At 36.0% G+C, this 17392-nt stretch overlaps 1 protein-coding gene across 9 annotated transcripts in view; it reads left to right on the forward strand.

Annotated features, from left to right (window-relative positions):
* Positions 1-17392, forward strand: part of WWP1 (WW domain containing E3 ubiquitin protein ligase 1) — a 125957-nt gene that overhangs the window by 105759 nt on the left and 2806 nt on the right. For all 9 annotated transcript variants that reach the window (NM_007013.4, XM_024447056.2, XM_005250761.5 and 6 more), the window contains 5 exons: positions 68-208; positions 4254-4374; positions 9616-9720; positions 12919-13015; positions 13469-13541. In NM_007013.4, coding sequence (NP_008944.1) covers positions 68-208; positions 4254-4374; positions 9616-9720; positions 12919-13015; positions 13469-13541 — 537 coding nt within the window. The remainder of the gene's footprint in view (positions 1-67; positions 209-4253; positions 4375-9615; positions 9721-12918; positions 13016-13468; positions 13542-17392) is intronic.

The following is a 17392-nucleotide window of genomic DNA, read 5'->3' on the forward strand; positions in this document are numbered from 1 at the left end:
AGTCATTTTTTTGAAACCCATTTTGTTTCATTTTGTTAATTAGTGTATATATATTTATTTCACCCAGAGATAACAACATTGAAGAATGTGGCTTAGAAATGTACTTTTCTGTTGACATGGAGATTTTGGGAAAAGTTACTTCACATGACCTGAAGTTGGGAGGTTCCAATATTCTGGTGACTGAGGAGAACAAAGATGAATATATTGGGTAAGGTGATATACCTTATTAAGCTTAATTTCTAGAACACTTCAGAACTAAATCCTCTCTCTGTACCCTTAATTTCATCCCCTTTTCATGCCTTTGGGAAGTTCTTCTCACCAGTACCAATGTTCTTGAAAAAAGAGAATATATGTTGCTTCATTTTCCCACTGCCATTTGCTGTAACCATTCTACCATTTCCCTTTCCATGTCATTTTCCCTTTTTTAACTTAGGCTTTTAAATAGTGCTCACCACAGCCTGTTTCTTGAAACTCAGTGTTTTCTTGAATTCCATGATCCTATGTCATACTGATTTTCTTTACATTCTCTTGTTTTAAATTTTTGTTTTTAGAGAGAGTTTCACTCTGTCGCTCAGGCCGTCGTAGTGGCGTGATCATAGCTTACTGCAGGGTTGACCTCCTGTGCTCAAGCAATTCTGCCTTAGTCTCCTGAGTAGCTGGGACTACAGGCTTATACTACCATTCCCAGCTAATTTAAAACAATTTTTTTTTTTTTGTAAAGATAGGGTCTCACTGTATTGCCCAGGCTGGTCTCAAACTCTTGGCCTCAAGTCATCCTCCTTTCCTCAGCCTCCCAAAATGCTGGGATAACAGGGTGTCACCATCCTGGTCACTTGCTCTTTTTTAATGGCAGTTCTTTAAATCTCCTATTTCCTAAATGTAGGCATTTTTCCAAGATTTTATTTCAACCTGCTTCTCTAAATATTCTGCTAACATAGCTTCAATTTTCTGTTAAAGTTATATCTGAACTTTAGAAATAATTTCCATTTGCCAGCCAGGTAAGTCCAAACATTTTCAGGAAAGAACCAGGCAGTAAACTTTTTAGGCTTACAGGCACATTTCTTATTGCAACTACTCACCTCTGTGGTATAGTGCAAAGGTAGCTATAGACAGTGTATAAATAGATGTGTGGCTGTGTTCCAGTAAAACACTTGTAGACACTGAAATTTGATTTTGTATAATTTTCATGTCCCAAAATACTTTTAATATTTTTCAATCATTTTTTTAAAATGTAAAAACTATTCTTAGCTCAAATGCTGGACAAAAAAACCAGATGATTAGGCCCATGGGCCGTAATTTGCCAGCACGTGAACTACAGATGACGCATCTTAAAATGTAATGGGCCTAAAATCAAACTTTTCATTTTTCCTAGATATTGCCTCCTACTGATGTCTTCTATGAATAGTACTACCATTTTCACCCTCTTAGATGCTAGCTGTCATCTCTGTCTCTTTCAGATTTTTTGTTTTTTATATTTGTTTTGAAAATGGGATTGGATTATACACATTACTCCGTAGCTTACTTTTTTTTGTCTTAAGGACAGTACAGTTAAATCTAACTCATTTTTTAATAGCTAGGTACATTGTGGTGTATTTTTTTCTATATTCTTCAGCTATTCCTGTCAATAGAGATCATTTAGGTTGTGTCCAGTTTGGGCCACTGCAAACAAGACAGCAGAAAACTTCCTTAAGCATGAATCCATACATCCTGCTACTTGTTTTGTGGGCTAGATTTTTAAAAAGTGAAGTTACTGGGTCAAAAAGTATTTAATAGATACTGCTATGTGGCTTTTGTAAAATGTCACAGCCCTTCTTTTTTCCCTTCTTGTAAATTGCTATGGCCTTTCAAATTTACCCCCTTAGTGTCTCTGCTTACCAACTTTAATGTACCCTTCTTAGCTTGGCATTCTTGGCCTCTTCTTATTTTTCTGCTAAACCAGTCATCTCTGAGTGAGAGAAGTTACCAATAACTGATTTTCTTCCTTTATACTTTTGTACTCTGTTAGGTATTTTTGTTTTGCTTTGTTCTACAGTGTGCATTTATTACGCTAGTTGGAAAAAAACAGTAACACTATATTTTGAGGAAAATATATTCATCAAAAGATCATGCATAAGGCACTGGACTTTCTATATTTGTTAAGCCTGAGCCTTCCACAAAGTCCAACAAAAATAAGTACCACAATCTAAGTGGTTAAAAAAAATGCTATCAGTGGTTTCAAATATCAAAAACAGTCTAAATAAAATTTCACTATGTAAGATGTATATTCACTTTCTGTAAAGTTAAGCACTGTTTCAAACATTTTATCACTGTAATACTATTGATAGCTAATCATGAATGCAGCAATTTTTGGAGGATTTTGTTTCAGTCTCAAATAATAACAGACTTTAGTCTTGTTTTTTAATCTTGCTCTTGAAAATTATATGATAACACTCTTGTTTAGTTGTGATACCTTATTTTTAGTGCACAAAATAGGCCATCAGTGAATCTATAAGTAAATGAATGGTGGAAATATATATGAAGTACTACTGGAATCCAAAGTGGGAAGAGAGCTATTGTTTCTGCTGGGAGGAGTCAGGAAAGTTCTTCATAGGACATTATGTATTAGACTATGTCTTAAAAGATGCATGAGAGGCTGGTGGCTCCTGCCTGTAATCCCAGGACTTTGGGAGGCCGAGGTGGGTGGATCACTTGAGCCCAGGAGTTCAAGACCAGCCTGAGAAACATGGCAAAACCTCATCTCTACAAAAATAAATAAATAAATAAATAAAATTTTTTTAAAAAATTAGCTGGGCATGGTGGTGTGCACTTGTAGTCCCAGCCACTATGGAGACTGAGGTGGGAAGATCACCTAAGCCCAGGGAGGTCAAGGCTGCAGTGAACCAGGCAACCGAGTGAGACCCTATGTTATTAAAAAAAAAAAAAAAAAAAAAAAAAAAAAAAAAAAAAAAGATACATGAAAGCTTGCCCGATAGAGGGAGATTTTGGTACAGGGAAAACAGCAAGAGCAGAATTGACGTATTAAGGGGATAAGTTGATGGTGAGAATTAGTGGCTATAGTGGCGCCTACAGTGATAGCTAGGTTTAAAATTACCTTGGTTTACAATTTGGTTGAATAGAAGGTGAGAAAATGAAAACACTGAGTAAGGTGTACTCTTATAATGAGTGTGGTGGTAAAGGGAGGACAGAGTAATTTAAAAGAGACACTGGGTTAAAGGAAGGGTTTTTGGAAAAGAATAGTCTGAACACCTTTGTGGACAAATGGGAAGAAAAGTTGGAGTTGGAGTTGAGGATACGGGACAAAGAGGGTTTAGTAATTGAAGAAAAGTTTTGGAGGCAGCCTTAGAAAAGCATAAGGCCAGCTTCCTCTAGAAAGCAAAAAGAAGAGTTAGAAATGGGAGGAGTGTGAACAGCTTGGCTTTCTCTTCATCGTCTAGAATCTGTGGCTTCTCTGTATGAGGTGGTGTATGCTGCTTCTTTAGGTAGTTCTTTTCAGATCCATCTCCTTTTGGAATCTCCTTTTACAGATTTTGTGTCACTGACAGATTTTCTTCCTTATTTCCTTTCTGTCATACTTCCCTGCTCTTACAGCTGCTTTATATATGTCTCTTCAGAATGTTTTGTTTTCATCTTAATTGAGTTCTTCTATTCTAGTTAGGAAATCTTCGTGTTTTCCAATAAAACAGCAGGTAAAGAACCTGTTCTCCAGCCTTAAGCCCTCTCAGACCATAAACCTACACCAGCACATGGCCTGTGAACATATGGTCATTACATACTGAGACAATCCCTTGCCTTGCTGGTGTGGAAGGCTTTGAGTCAGAGTCCTCAGGTCTGTCACGGCAATGCTTGGTGTAAGAAGAGCCTGTTAAATGACTAGCTGTTCCTTCCCGGTGGGCACATGATATTTGGATTTATTTGTCTAGATATAAACAGGAAATAATTAGTGCTAGGATTTGGCTATCTTACTAAATAGTGAAGAACCTCCTATTTATTTTCTTTCTTTTTTCTGTGTTTTCCTTTCCTATTTATTTTAAAAGCATCCTTTTTAATAGTTAACAATGTGTTAGAACTGATTTCCTCAAATGTGTTAACTCTAAAATTATATGTATTCATACATATACACACACATCACATTTATATGTTTATATATATGGCATATTTAGAAAAAGAGAAAGAACTATAGAAGTTCTTGGTGTTTTTAAGTATTTTACTTCACATATAAATTACCTATTTTTAAATACCATCTTTATTTTCAGTTTAATGACAGAATGGCGTTTTTCTCGAGGAGTACAAGAACAGACCAAAGCTTTCCTTGATGGTTTTAATGAAGTTGTTCCTCTTCAGTGGCTACAGTACTTCGATGAAAAAGAATTAGAGGTTAGGCCCTTTTATTATGCTATTGTAGGGAATGTTAGTGGGGGGAGGGACTAATTTAGTGCTTTTACAGAACAGTGTTCACACATTTTAAAATCCTGTAGCACAATCTTGAATCCTCTCATTTGTCCTGATGTCAAGGTGGTATTTATTCTAGCATTGGGTAAGAGTCTTAATTATGTTCTCTGAACCATATAATTCCATGAGCACAAAATCATCAATCAGTGTCACTTGTTAGGGGTCTTGAAGAGTTGTTGGAACATTATTAATAATTCTGAAATTTCAGTTTAGTAGTGAGTTGCTTCAAAGATCAGAATTTTAAGTCATGAGTTCTTAGTGGTCTTAACTGTATTTAGACTTGTTAGAAGTATATCAGGCATGTGATAAAATATATCTTAAAATATACCATCTTAACTATTTTTAAGTGTTCAATAATGTTAAATATATTCACATTGTGCATCCAATCTCCAGAAATTTTTCATCCTGCAAAACTGAAACTCTATGTCCATTAGACAAGTCCCCCTTTTCCCCAGCCCCTGGCAACTACCCTTCTACTTTGTTTCTGTGAGTTTGACTACTGTTGATACCTCCTATGAGTGAAATCATACAGTATTTTACTTTCTGTGACTGGGTTATTTCACTCAGCCTAATATCCTCAAGGTTCATTCGTCCTGTAGCATGTGTCAGAATTTCTTCCTTTTTTAGACTGAATAATACTCCATTATAGAGTATTATGTACACTACCACATGGTATTATCCATTTGTCCCTTGAGGGACCTTTGTGTGGCTTCCATCTTTTGGCTGTTGTGAATAGTGCTGCTGTGAACACAGGTGTACACATATTTCTTTGAGATCCCGTTTCTTTTGGATATGTACCAGGAGTGGTATTGTTGGATCATATGGTAATCCTCTATTTAATTTTTTGAGGAACTACCATACTGTTTTCTATATCAGTTGCATCATTTTACATTCCTATTAAACATGTAGAAAGATTCCAGTTTCTCCACATCTTTCCCAACATTTATTTTCTGTTTCTTGTTTTGGTTTTTTGCTTGTTTTTTTAATAGTATCCACCCTAATGGGTGTGAGGGGATATCTCATTGTGGTTTTGATTTGCATTTCCCTAATGATTAGTTATCAAGAATTTTCTAAAGCTTATTTTCCCATATAAGTTAGGACATAGGCTGGGCATTTGAATAGTCCTTGGCATTTCCTCTCTGCCTGCTTTGGGTGTGCTATTTTAACTGCAGCCATCTTGGGCCTTTTATTAAGAAACTTGGTTCTTTCATGTAATCAAATGTGCATATGAAAAACAGCACTTCAGATTTCATACAGTAATATTCCTATGTAGGATTTAGCCTTCTGGCAAGTCTGACTAACCTAGGAAGTACAGTCATCTCTCAGTATCTGTGGGAGATTGGTTCTGTAGGGCACCTGTGGACACCACAATCCATGGACACTCAAGTCCTTACAATTACAGTATATAATAGGATAGTATTTGCATATAACCTACACACTTCTCCCTTACACTTTAAATCATCTCTAGATTACTTATAAATACCTAATGCAATGCAAATGCTATGGTAAATAGTTGTTATACTATATTTTTAATTTTTTTATTTTTTTTAATTGTCATATTATTCTTTTTCTCAAATATTTTCAATCTACCATTGGTTGAATCTGCTGATACGAAAGCTGTTGGATATGGAAAGCCGATATATATGAAAACCAGGACTCTGAACCTGACTGACATAGACTGTCACTAATCCTGGTTACCATCTTCCTTAACAGTTTGCTTACACAAATTAACAGAAACATATTAGAAGATTAGCATGGAAGACATTTTTAGAGTAGTATTTATTAATCTTTTTAAAAACCATCGACTTCATTTTTAATCTGAAGATGGACATCTTGCATCCTCTAAATTCATACACCTAAATATTCCATACCTCCAATTAAGAATGCCCATGTTAGAGGTGCACTCAGAGAGGGATGTTATAGTGGGAGCCCTATATTGAAGTGGAGATGAAACTAAAACGGGAGATCAAGAAGCATAAGAATAGGAACATACAGTTTATGTACCCTTGGCAGGGTTTATAATGTTCTCACATACTGCCCTGTATGTGGGAAGGCCATATGATACCTTTCTTTTACATATAAGATGACTGAAGCCCTTAATGATTATTTGCCCTGAGCTAATCAGTTAAGAGTACAGTTAAGAGTGCTAATCAATTAAGAGTGCAGAGCTGTGTGAGAAAATACAGATTTTGTCTTGTTTTGCTTTGTCTTGAGTTTTACACCTAATCTGTTGTTCTTTCTTCTACTGTCATTCATTGCCTCTCTTACCATAGTAATGGTTATTTATACTATTATTCACAATAATGGCTATGCATAGTCACACCGCCCTTTTATAGGTTAACATCTGTTTAATGCTTAAGAAGATACAGTAGTCATTCTTTATGAAAACTCTTACCACACTAGGAATATAAGGCAACTTTCTTAGTTTGATAAAGGGAATCATCATCAACAACAAAAAACCTCAGCATTATTCTAAATGGTAATATTTTGAAAGTTTCCCATTGAGTTTGGGAAAAAGGCAAAGATGTCTACTCTTACCACTTCTATTCAATATTTTACCAAATACCCTAGCCAGTGGCAAAAGCAGAAATAAGAAGTATAAAGATGGGAAATAAGTAAAACTGCCTATATTCACAGATGAAAACATGATTTTCAGCTTAGATTAGAAAATCCTAGGTAACCCACCAAAAAACTACTAGAAATAATAGTGAATTTAATAAGGCATGGGTACAATGTTAATACTTTAAAAATCAATCGTATTTTTATGTATTAGCAACAGACACTTAAAATTTAGATTTTGGTTTCATTTGTGAAAGCATCAAAAAATGAGCAAATTTAACCAAAAACACACAAGACCTCTATACTAAAAACTGAAAACATTGCTCAGAAAAATTAAGGAAGACCTAAATAAATGAAGAGATATACGATGTTATATTGTTAAAGTGTCAGTTCTCTCCAAATTGATGTAGAGATTGAACATCTCAGCAGAATTTTTTTTATAGAAAGTGACAGGCTGATTTCAAAATTAGAAGGAAATACAGAGGCCCTAGAAGAGCAAAGCCAATTTTGAGAAAGGACAGACTTGGAGGATTTGCATCACCTGATTTTAAGATTTCTAACACCATAGTAAATAAGATAGCGTGGTATTTGTGAAAGAATAGACAAATTGGTGGAACACTAGAATGTCCAGAAGTAGATCCACACCTACATTGTCAATTGATTTTCAACAAAAGTACTAAGATATTTCAACGTGGAAAGGGAATATCTTTTCAACAAATGATGTTGAATCAACTAGATATCCATATGGAAGAAAATTAACTATAAGCCTACCTCAGTCCATATTTAAAATTAACTTTGACCTTACCTCTGCCCATATAATTATTCATGCTTACAATTAAAAAGAATTATAAGCCTGAATGTGAAAGTGAAAAACATAAGAGAAATCTTGATGTAGGCAGAAGTTTTTTAGAACACAAAAAGCAATAACCATGAAAGAAAAATATGGATACATTGGACTTCTTCAAAACTAAAAACTGCTCTTCAAAAGATACCATTAAGTGAAAAAGCAACCTACACCCTGGGAGAAACTATTGAGACAAAGATCTTATATCTGGAATATATTAACAAAAAAACTCACGTAACTCAATAAAAAGATAAGAAAACATTTTTAAATGGACAAAGGCTTACTTCCCAATAGGATATACACAGATGGCAAGTAAATACTTGAAAAATGCTTATTAGTAATTGGGGAAATGCAAATCAAAGCACCACTTTGAGATAGTGTTGGTAGTTTCTTGTAATGTTAAATGTACATCTACCTTATGGCCTACCAGTTCTACTGTTAGGTGTTTATCAAAATGAAATGAAATATATATCCACACAAAGACTCATACATACATGTTAATCATTTTATTCATCAATGCTAAAAATTGAAAGTAACCTAAATGTTCATTAACAAGTGAATGGATAAGCAAATTGTTGTATATTCATATAATGGAATACTATTCAGTGATAGAAAATATGAACTACTGGTTCCAACAACAGCATGGATGAATCTCAAAAACATGTTGAGTGGGAAAAACAAAAGAGGATGTGTGTATATGTGTATACACTATATATCACAAAAATATGTATGTATGCATATATATGACATTCTTAAAAGGACAAATATAATCTGTGGTGAAATCATTGATCACCTAAAACTAGAGATGAGGATGATTGTTTTGATTACAAAAAGGGGATGATGATTTTGATTACAAAAAGGGATATGATGGAAATATTCTATATCTTGATTGTAATGGTGGTTACACAGGTGTATACATCTGTTGAAAATCTTCGAACTATATACCTAAGTTTGTGCATTTTATTGTATGTAAATTATACCTCAAAGTTGACTTACGAAAAAAACTAAGAGATTAAGTATTACATATTTTACTATACCTAAAATAATGTTCATTTCATACATAAGTTGAGGTTGTTTGACAATTTCACATAGTAGAATATTCCTAGAGAATATTATTCTGGATAAATTATTAATAGGAGGTTAGTATATTTTTTTATTTTCAAATATATAAGATAGCATAGATTTTTAAAAATGAGAACCAGAAATAGGTTTGGAACTAATGAATTTGGATAGCCAGTTTGGGGGAGATCTATCTGTCTGTCTGTCTGTCTGTCTATCTATCTATCTATCTATCTATCTAGATATAAATCTATATATATAGATGTGTATGTGTGTATTTACACACACACACCATACCATATATACATAATGTGTGTATACATAATAGATACACACACACATTTAGATATAAATCTATATATATAGATGTGTGTGCGTGTGTGTGTAAATACACACACACACCATACCATATATACATACGGTAAAGGATACATGCTTTTCAGTATAGCTGTTTTTCTTGAAGAATACTCTAAATGCGGTTTTTGGTTTGAGTTCAATAAACATGGGTAAAATAAAGTACCAGAGAATCCTTTATGCTAAATTGCCACAGTTTTGTTATATTTGCTTATTGTGATCATTATATGCCATGCATATAGCTTTTCACATAATTTGCCATGTGCATAACTGCATTAGGAAATTTCAGTCATATAATTATTCTCTTCACTAAATCTTTATTGTGGCCTGATTCTGTGCTCATTTCCCAGGTTATGTTGTGTGGCATGCAGGAGGTTGACTTGGCAGATTGGCAGAGAAATACTGTTTATCGACATTATACAAGAAACAGCAAGCAAATCATTTGGTTTTGGCAGGTATTTGCTTTTATCTTTTTTGAAACAAAGTACTCAACATATTTTCTAATGAAATGGTGGTTTTAAAAATAGCTTATTATTTTTAATTGAGACTGCTTTTGGACACAGTTTATAATTTTTTAATTCTAAATCTAAGCGAATAGTGTGAACACTTGTTAAAAGTACTTTCTATTGCTTCTTTGACTGTCTTGCTGAAATGAAGGAGTTGAGTGACAGAATCTTATTTAAGTAATAGTTTAATGTTAATAGTTGTAGGCGTAGCAATTTTTTTCTAGTGGTATCAAAGTAGTCTAAATTCCACTTAATTCTAGAAGTAAATGAGGAAGTATGTTTGTAGTGAGAGTCAGTGCAGATACTTTAATTCCTCTGAGGTAATAACATACTAGGGAATAAGAATGATCGAGGGGATAATGTCTAAGAATGACTTTATTCATTTATTTATGTATTTTTTTAGCGTGTGTGTTTTGCTTAAACTATAATAGGATGGTCTCAGGAATCCAAGTGTACCACACTAATCTTGAACATTTTATTTTAATAGACTTTTTGTTTTGTGTGTTTATTAGAGAATTTAAAATCTCCAAATCAGGGATATTCTTCAGATAACTACTCTACTAATTGGGACTCTTTTGAGCAACTTAGTGACTGGACTTCTGGCTTACTTCTGCTTAACTGTTTCATTTTCAGGTGAAGAGTAATGCTGGGTTTTGTGTTATAGTACACTTTCCAAAAGTTGCATCTTTTCATAAGGATGTATGTTGTGAGTTTATTGCTTGATATTTTAAAGAGATGTAGACACTTCTAGAAATTTATCTTAAAATATACTTCAACGTGTGTAAAGTGGCACATACCAAAGTATTTAATGCAACATCATTGGTATACTAACAGAGACTTGAAACAACCTAAATGTCCATCAGGAGAGTACTGAGTAAATAAACTATGATACATCCGTTCTTTATAAGTCTATACCTTGGAGTCATTCTTTTTCTTTTTCTTTTTTCTTTTTTTTTTTTTTTTTTTTTTTTGAGACAGAGTCTCACTCTATTGCCTAGGCTGGAGTGCAGTGACAGGATCTCAGCTCATTGCACCCTCTGCCTCCCAGGTTCAAGTGATTCTCCCGCCTCAGCACCCCCACTCCAAGTAGTTGGGATTACGGGTGTGCGCCACCATGCCCGGCTAGTTTTTGCATTTTTAGTAGAGACGGGGTTTCACCATGTTGGCCAGGCTGGTCTTGAACTCCTGACCTCAAGTGATCCATCTGCCTTGGCCTCCTGAAGTGCTGGGATTGCAGGTATGAGCCACCATGCCCGGCTTTTCTTTCCTTTTTTAAAAATGCAAATTAACAAAAATGTTGGAGAATAATGTTTCAATACAATATTAAGGGGAGAAGGAAGATGCTAACCAATGTGTATAATATGGTGCTTTTTGGTTAAAAAGTTATTGTCTGTATAGTAAGTGTATGTTTGGAAATATGTCATCTTTGAAAAGGCAGAGAAAAAACTGGAAACAGTTCTATAGAGGAGCTGAGCAGTTGGAGGCAAAGGTAGGAAAGCTGATTTTCATTAAATAAAAGCCTTTTGCATTCTATACTATTACCTATTATAAAATACATACATAAATAGGAAGGAATAAATCCATTTTCAAGCCTAAAATATCTGAACTGCATTATATACAGTATGCATACCGTTGTTTGTAATCTTCCCTTTCAGGCTTTTTACTAGCTTCATTACAGTCGGTGTTCCATGGCTTTCTGTTTACACATTTGTACCTACATAGCTAATGAGCTTAAGCTTAGAGTCATATAAATCCAAATGAATACTTCTGTTTTCTGAATTGGGTTTCTTTTAGGGAAAGTGATGAGGTTTGTGCCAGACCTGGTAATAAGTCTTGTTTCTTGTGTTCTGATGAAATATGTGCCTCAGCACAATTCTTCACTGAAATATTTTGGGTCATGATTAGCACAGCTATTTTGTCTTATCCTTAGCTAAAGTTTATTCCCTATTTTTAAGATACATTTCCACTCTTAATCTGCTCCCTATGTTCCTTGCTTTCTGTTATACTCAAACCAATCAAATTAGTAGTTCACCACCTTACCCATTTATGTCGTTGAAAATAACCAGTCAATGAAATAGATAATTTTAGAGGAATGTGTACTTTGGTTTTTCAGGTACTAGTCAGGAAGAACACAAAGTGTTAGGAAAATGGTGTTTCATGGGAGAAAATACCACAAACTATTAAGAGTGGCAGCAGGGAGGTGTTCATTTGTTTTCTGTAGGTTAAAGGGGAGAGGGGTAATTGACTCAGGGAGGAATAACAGTGGTTTAGGGCTCATCTAGACTTGAGTTCAAATGTTAGTTCTGCCACTTTAGCAGTTTGGGAAGGACAAATCATTTAAACTCTCTAGGCCTCCATTTCCTTATATGTACAGTGGGGATGCTAATGATTCTACCTATCTCATAGAATTGTTGTGAGAACTAAATCCATGAAAACCAGTGGCACACTATTTGGCAGGAACCCTTAATAGCTATTATATTACAACCCAACAACAACATCTATCTTGGTTGCACCTTTTGTTGGTATGACCTTACATAAATGACTTAACCTTTCCAAGATTCTCGTGTATTTCCTTCCAGTAAGATGGATGTAGTAATAATAGTGGCCAGCCTCCGTGTTCTCATGAGGATGAACTGAAGTGAGGTTCACAGTATACTTAGCATAGTGCCCAACCTTAATAAATGACAAACCCTACAACCTCTTTTTAGCACATCTTTTTTTTTTTTTTTTTTTTTTTTTTTTTTTTTTTTTGAGACAGAGTCTTGCTCTGTCGCCCAGGCTGGAGTGCAGTGGCGTGATCTTGGCTCACTACAAGCTCCACCTCCCGGGTTCACGCCATTCTCCTGCCTCAGCCTCTCGAGTAGCTGGGACTACAGGCGCCCGACACCACGCCCGGCTAATTTTTTGTATTTTTAGTAGAGACAGGGTTTCACCATGTTAGCCAGGATGATCTCGATCTCCTGACCTCGTGATCCGCCTGCTTCGGCCTCCCAAAATGCTGGGATTACAGGTGTGAGCCACCACGCCCAACCTTTAGCACATCTTTTGAACCAATTCAGTGTTATTTAATTTCTTCAAGTGTCTACTACTTTCATGATTGAAGATAGTTTAGCATTTCATATTAAAGTACATTTAATTTCATTACAGTTTGTGAAAGAGACAGACAATGAAGTAAGAATGCGACTATTGCAGTTCGTCACTGGAACCTGCCGTTTACCTCTAGGAGGATTTGCTGAGCTCATGGGTAAATGTAATTTCACTGTAATTTCTCTGTACGTAATTTTGTGATAATAATGGCCTTTGGACATACAATAGACTTGATTGAACCTAAAGATTACTCTTCTGTGCTGTAGGTAGGGCTTCATTTAGAAGAAAGAAAAATGAGTGGCTAATATCAAAGCACTTGTAAGACAAAAATGAATGTGTCCTCATATAGCTGAGGTGGCCATTGCTTTGCTCCCTATGGTGACTGTGAAGGGAGCGACATTCTGTAGAGAGAGTTTTCTTCCCAATGATCTAATTCTTATTGCTGGATCTCTGCAACAATTTTCTTCTTCAGGCAGAAGCAGCTTACATTGTGAATTTCTTTATTTTGTATCATTCATATGACTGTGCAACATGTTCTATTATTTAAGCAGTTGTCAGAAGAAAAAAGTTTAAAGGACCAGATAAACTTTGTCTTATTTTCTTGGTGTAGGAAGTAATGGGCCTCAAAAGTTTTGCATTGAAAAAGTTGGCAAAGACACTTGGTTACCAAGAAGCCATACATGGTAAGTTCAAGAATCCTAAATACGAAGGTGAAAGCCACAGAGAATCTTTTGTTTTGTTTTTTTAAAAATATGTAAGATCCAGTATAACTGCTTATTCATTAAAGTAGTCAGAATTTCAATTTTGAGAACAGATTAATACAGCATTCTATAACTGAACACTTTAGCATGTTCTCATTAATAGAAATATTTGAGAAATGCATCCAGTGATTCAACAAGTATTAGTGTACCCACTAGGTATAAAGTAAGATGTAAGTATTCCCTGTTTTTTATGAAGTTTGTGCCCCATGGTGGGGCACAAATGACAAACAGATAAACAAATAACTATTTGCAAATCCTGGGAAGTCCTTCGAAGGGAAAAATGAGAGTACTCTAACAGAGAACAACTAACGGGAACCTACTTTGGGTTGGGTGGTCAAGGAGATTTCTTGGAAGGGGTAATTTGTTTAAATTGTGTTTGGTAAAGAGCATGATGTGGGAGTACGCAGAGAAAGAGCATTCTTTGAACAGAAATGCTGAAGTAAACAAAGACCCCGAAGAAATTGTTTTTCAAGGAAATGAATATGATAGGTGTGATTGGAACTTGGTAAATCAGAAGAAAGGGAGATGAAAAAATTGGGGGATGTAGGCAGGGACTAAATTATGTACAGCGTTATAGGCTAATTAAAGAACTGAGATGTCAAAGAAAAATTAGACAGCTTTGAAGAGTTTTAAATAACAAGTAATGAATCCCAGAAAAATCGGCCAGAAAACAGTATAGGGAAGGATTTGGATGCAAGGGTGAATGCAGGGAGAGTAGTTAGAAAATTGTTATGGTTACCCAGGCCAAAGATGACATCCTAGAGATAGGTGATTCTTTCAAGAGGTCAAAACTATTTTCATACTAAGCCATTATTTGCCTTTTTATCATTTTGAAATTTCTGCTTGTGGTGCAAAAGCAATGGTTTGTGAACCTGCTTGTGCCTTAGCACAAATCAAGGCAGTGGCACCAAACTGCTACCTCTATTCTTCAACACCATACCCTTGAGGTTTAAAGAAAAAAAAAAAAAAGAAAAAGGCAAGTTCGTTGAAGTTCTTTATGAAGCAGTAAAAATTACTAACTTTATTAAATCTTGATGCTTGAGTATATGTTTTTTTAACATTTGTGTGACAAAATAGGAAGTCTGAAATAGCACTTGTGCACACCAGAGAATGATTTTCTTGAAGGAAAGCTTTTGGGCAGTTGTTTGAGTTGAAAGCTGAACTAGCTTGCTTTCTTTTATGGAACACTATTTTTACTTGAAAGAATGACCCACCAACAGTTTATGTAGACTTAGGTATTTGACAGACATTTTCTTGAGAAGTAATGATGTTAGCTTGTCATTTTAAGGAAAACAACAGGCATTTGTTGGTGGTGATAATTACCACCATGAGCTTGACAGCTTCTTAAGACTTTCCTCGATGAGATTAGTGGGGTTTTTTGTTTGTTTTTTTGTTTTTTTGAGATGGAGTCTCACTCTGTCACCCAGTCTGGAGTGCAGTGGCACAATCTTGGCTCACTGCAACCTCTGCCTCCCAAGTTCAAGCGATTCTCCTGCCTCAGCCTCTCGGGTAGCTGGGATTATAGGCGCGCACCACCACGCCCAGCTAATTTTGTATTTTTAGTAGAGATGGGGTTTCACCATGTTGGTCAGGCTGGTCTCAAACTCTCCTCACCTTGTGATCTGCCCGCCTTGGCCTCGCAAAGTGCTGGGATTACAGGCGTGAGCCACCATGCCCGGCCAATTAGTGGTATTTTAGCAAATGTGATTTTTTTTTCTATTATATAATTAAATGTGTCAACATTTAGAAAATCCTTATAATTTGATGAGCCATTATTTTCAAATGATCAGTGAATGCTGCAACGAATGTTACAAAATGACGCATGGGTAAAAGTTATTTTCAAAGTGCAAGACAGGCCAGGCACGGTGGCTCACACCTGTAATCCCAGCACTTTGGAAGGCCGAGGTGGGAGGATCGCTTGAGCTCAGGAGTTCGAGACCAGCCTGGGCAACATGGTGAAACCCCATCTCTACAAAAAATACAAAAATTAGCCGGGTGTGGTGGCACACACCTGTAGTCCCAGCTACTCTGGAGGCTGAGGTGGGAGGATCACTGGAGCCGGGGAAGTCAAGGCTGCAGTGATCCATGATCACACCACTGCACTCCAGTCTGGGTGACACAGTAAGACCCTGTCTCAAAAAAAACAAAAAAAAGATCAAAAAGTGCAAGAAGAGGAAACAGTAGATTTTGTATAACAAAGTACAAAGTGTTCTTTGACTTGATTTCAAACCCATATTGTGCATTCCCTTGTCAAATTTAGTATCAAAGAATAATATCCATAATTACCTGACAAGATGAGTAATCTCCATTTCTAACTATTTATCTGTGTGGGGCTATAGATTAAATGTACAACTAGATATCAAAATCCATATGTTTTCTATTACACCAGATATTTAAAAGATTTCCAAAACTAAAACAAAATCACTCTTTCCACTATTTTTTTTGGAAGTAGTTGGGTTTTTCCCATTAAAATGTTATGTTTATTTTCATATCAAAGTGAATTAATATTTTTTAAACTTCTGTTTTAACTTCTAATCCAGTAAATATCAGTAGCTATAATTCATATAAATAAAAGCTCTTTGCAGTTGGAAATCCATTTTTTTTTTCCCAAGATAGAGTCTTGCTGTGTTACCTATGTTAGAGTGCAGTGGCACAGACACAACTCACTGCAGCCTCAACCTCCTGGGTTCAAGCAATCCTCCTGCCATAGCCTCCTCAGTAGCTGGGACCACCAGTGCACGCCACTATGCCTGGCTAATTTTTTAATTTTTTGTAGGGACAAAGTTTTGCTGTGTTGTCCCAGGTGGGTCTTAAACTCTGGGCTCAAGCTGTCCTGCCTTGGCCTCTGAAAGTGCTGGGATTATAGGCATGAGCCACTGCTCCCAGCCAAGGTTGACAGTATTTTTAAGAGTGAAAAGGAGTCCTGTGACCAAAATTTGAAGACCTCTGCCTTCAATAAAAGTGATAGATCCATATGTATACACACATGCGCGCGCGTGTGTGTGTGTATTGAGAGAGAGATTTTTGAGTCAAAGGGAGAATTAAAATAGATTTCAAATTTTGTGAAAGGAAAGTAATTACCACCCACTGATTTCTGTTTTCTCAAAGTATAAGGAGAAGTCACTGGCTAAGAGTGAAGAAAGGAAAAACTTTTGAGAGAAAGAAGGAATTGGGAGAATTGTTAGAGAATAGGCAAGTATTCATTAGAGGAACACGGCTAAGATTGCTAGGCAAAATTGGATTGCTCACTTGGATTAGAGCATGAAACAAGTTGACAGCAAAGAGCATAAGCTTCCTTTCCCCACCACAGCCCCCTCCCCACCCATAGCAACTCGAAAGCAGCAAAAGTTTTTGAAGAGTGGCATAAACTGGTATGTCTTTTTAGCAAAAAGTAAAAAAGAAACAAAACAAATAGACCCAAAGAATTCTCTGATGGTCCAGGTAAGAGATGATGGGGAAGCATATACAAAGGGATGTAGTGGCAGTAGAAATGATGAGGAGGAGCCTGGGCAACATGACAAAACTTCGTCTCTACAAAAAAAAATACAAAAGTTAGCTGGCCATGGTGGCATGCGCCTGTACTCCCAGCCACTCCAGGGACTGAGGTGGGAGGAGGGAGGATTGCTTCAGCCTGGGAGGTCGAGGTCGCAGTGAGCCGAGACAGTAGCCTAGGCGACACAGCCAGACCCTGTCTCCAAATAAATAATCAGGAGAAAAAATGGAATATTTGGTAGATAGAATGACAGAATTTGGCAAAGGCTATATGTGAAAGA

Source organism: Homo sapiens, chromosome 8 (genome assembly GCF_000001405.40).
Source record: "Homo sapiens chromosome 8, GRCh38.p14 Primary Assembly".
Taxonomy (NCBI): domain Eukaryota; kingdom Metazoa; phylum Chordata; class Mammalia; order Primates; family Hominidae; genus Homo; species Homo sapiens.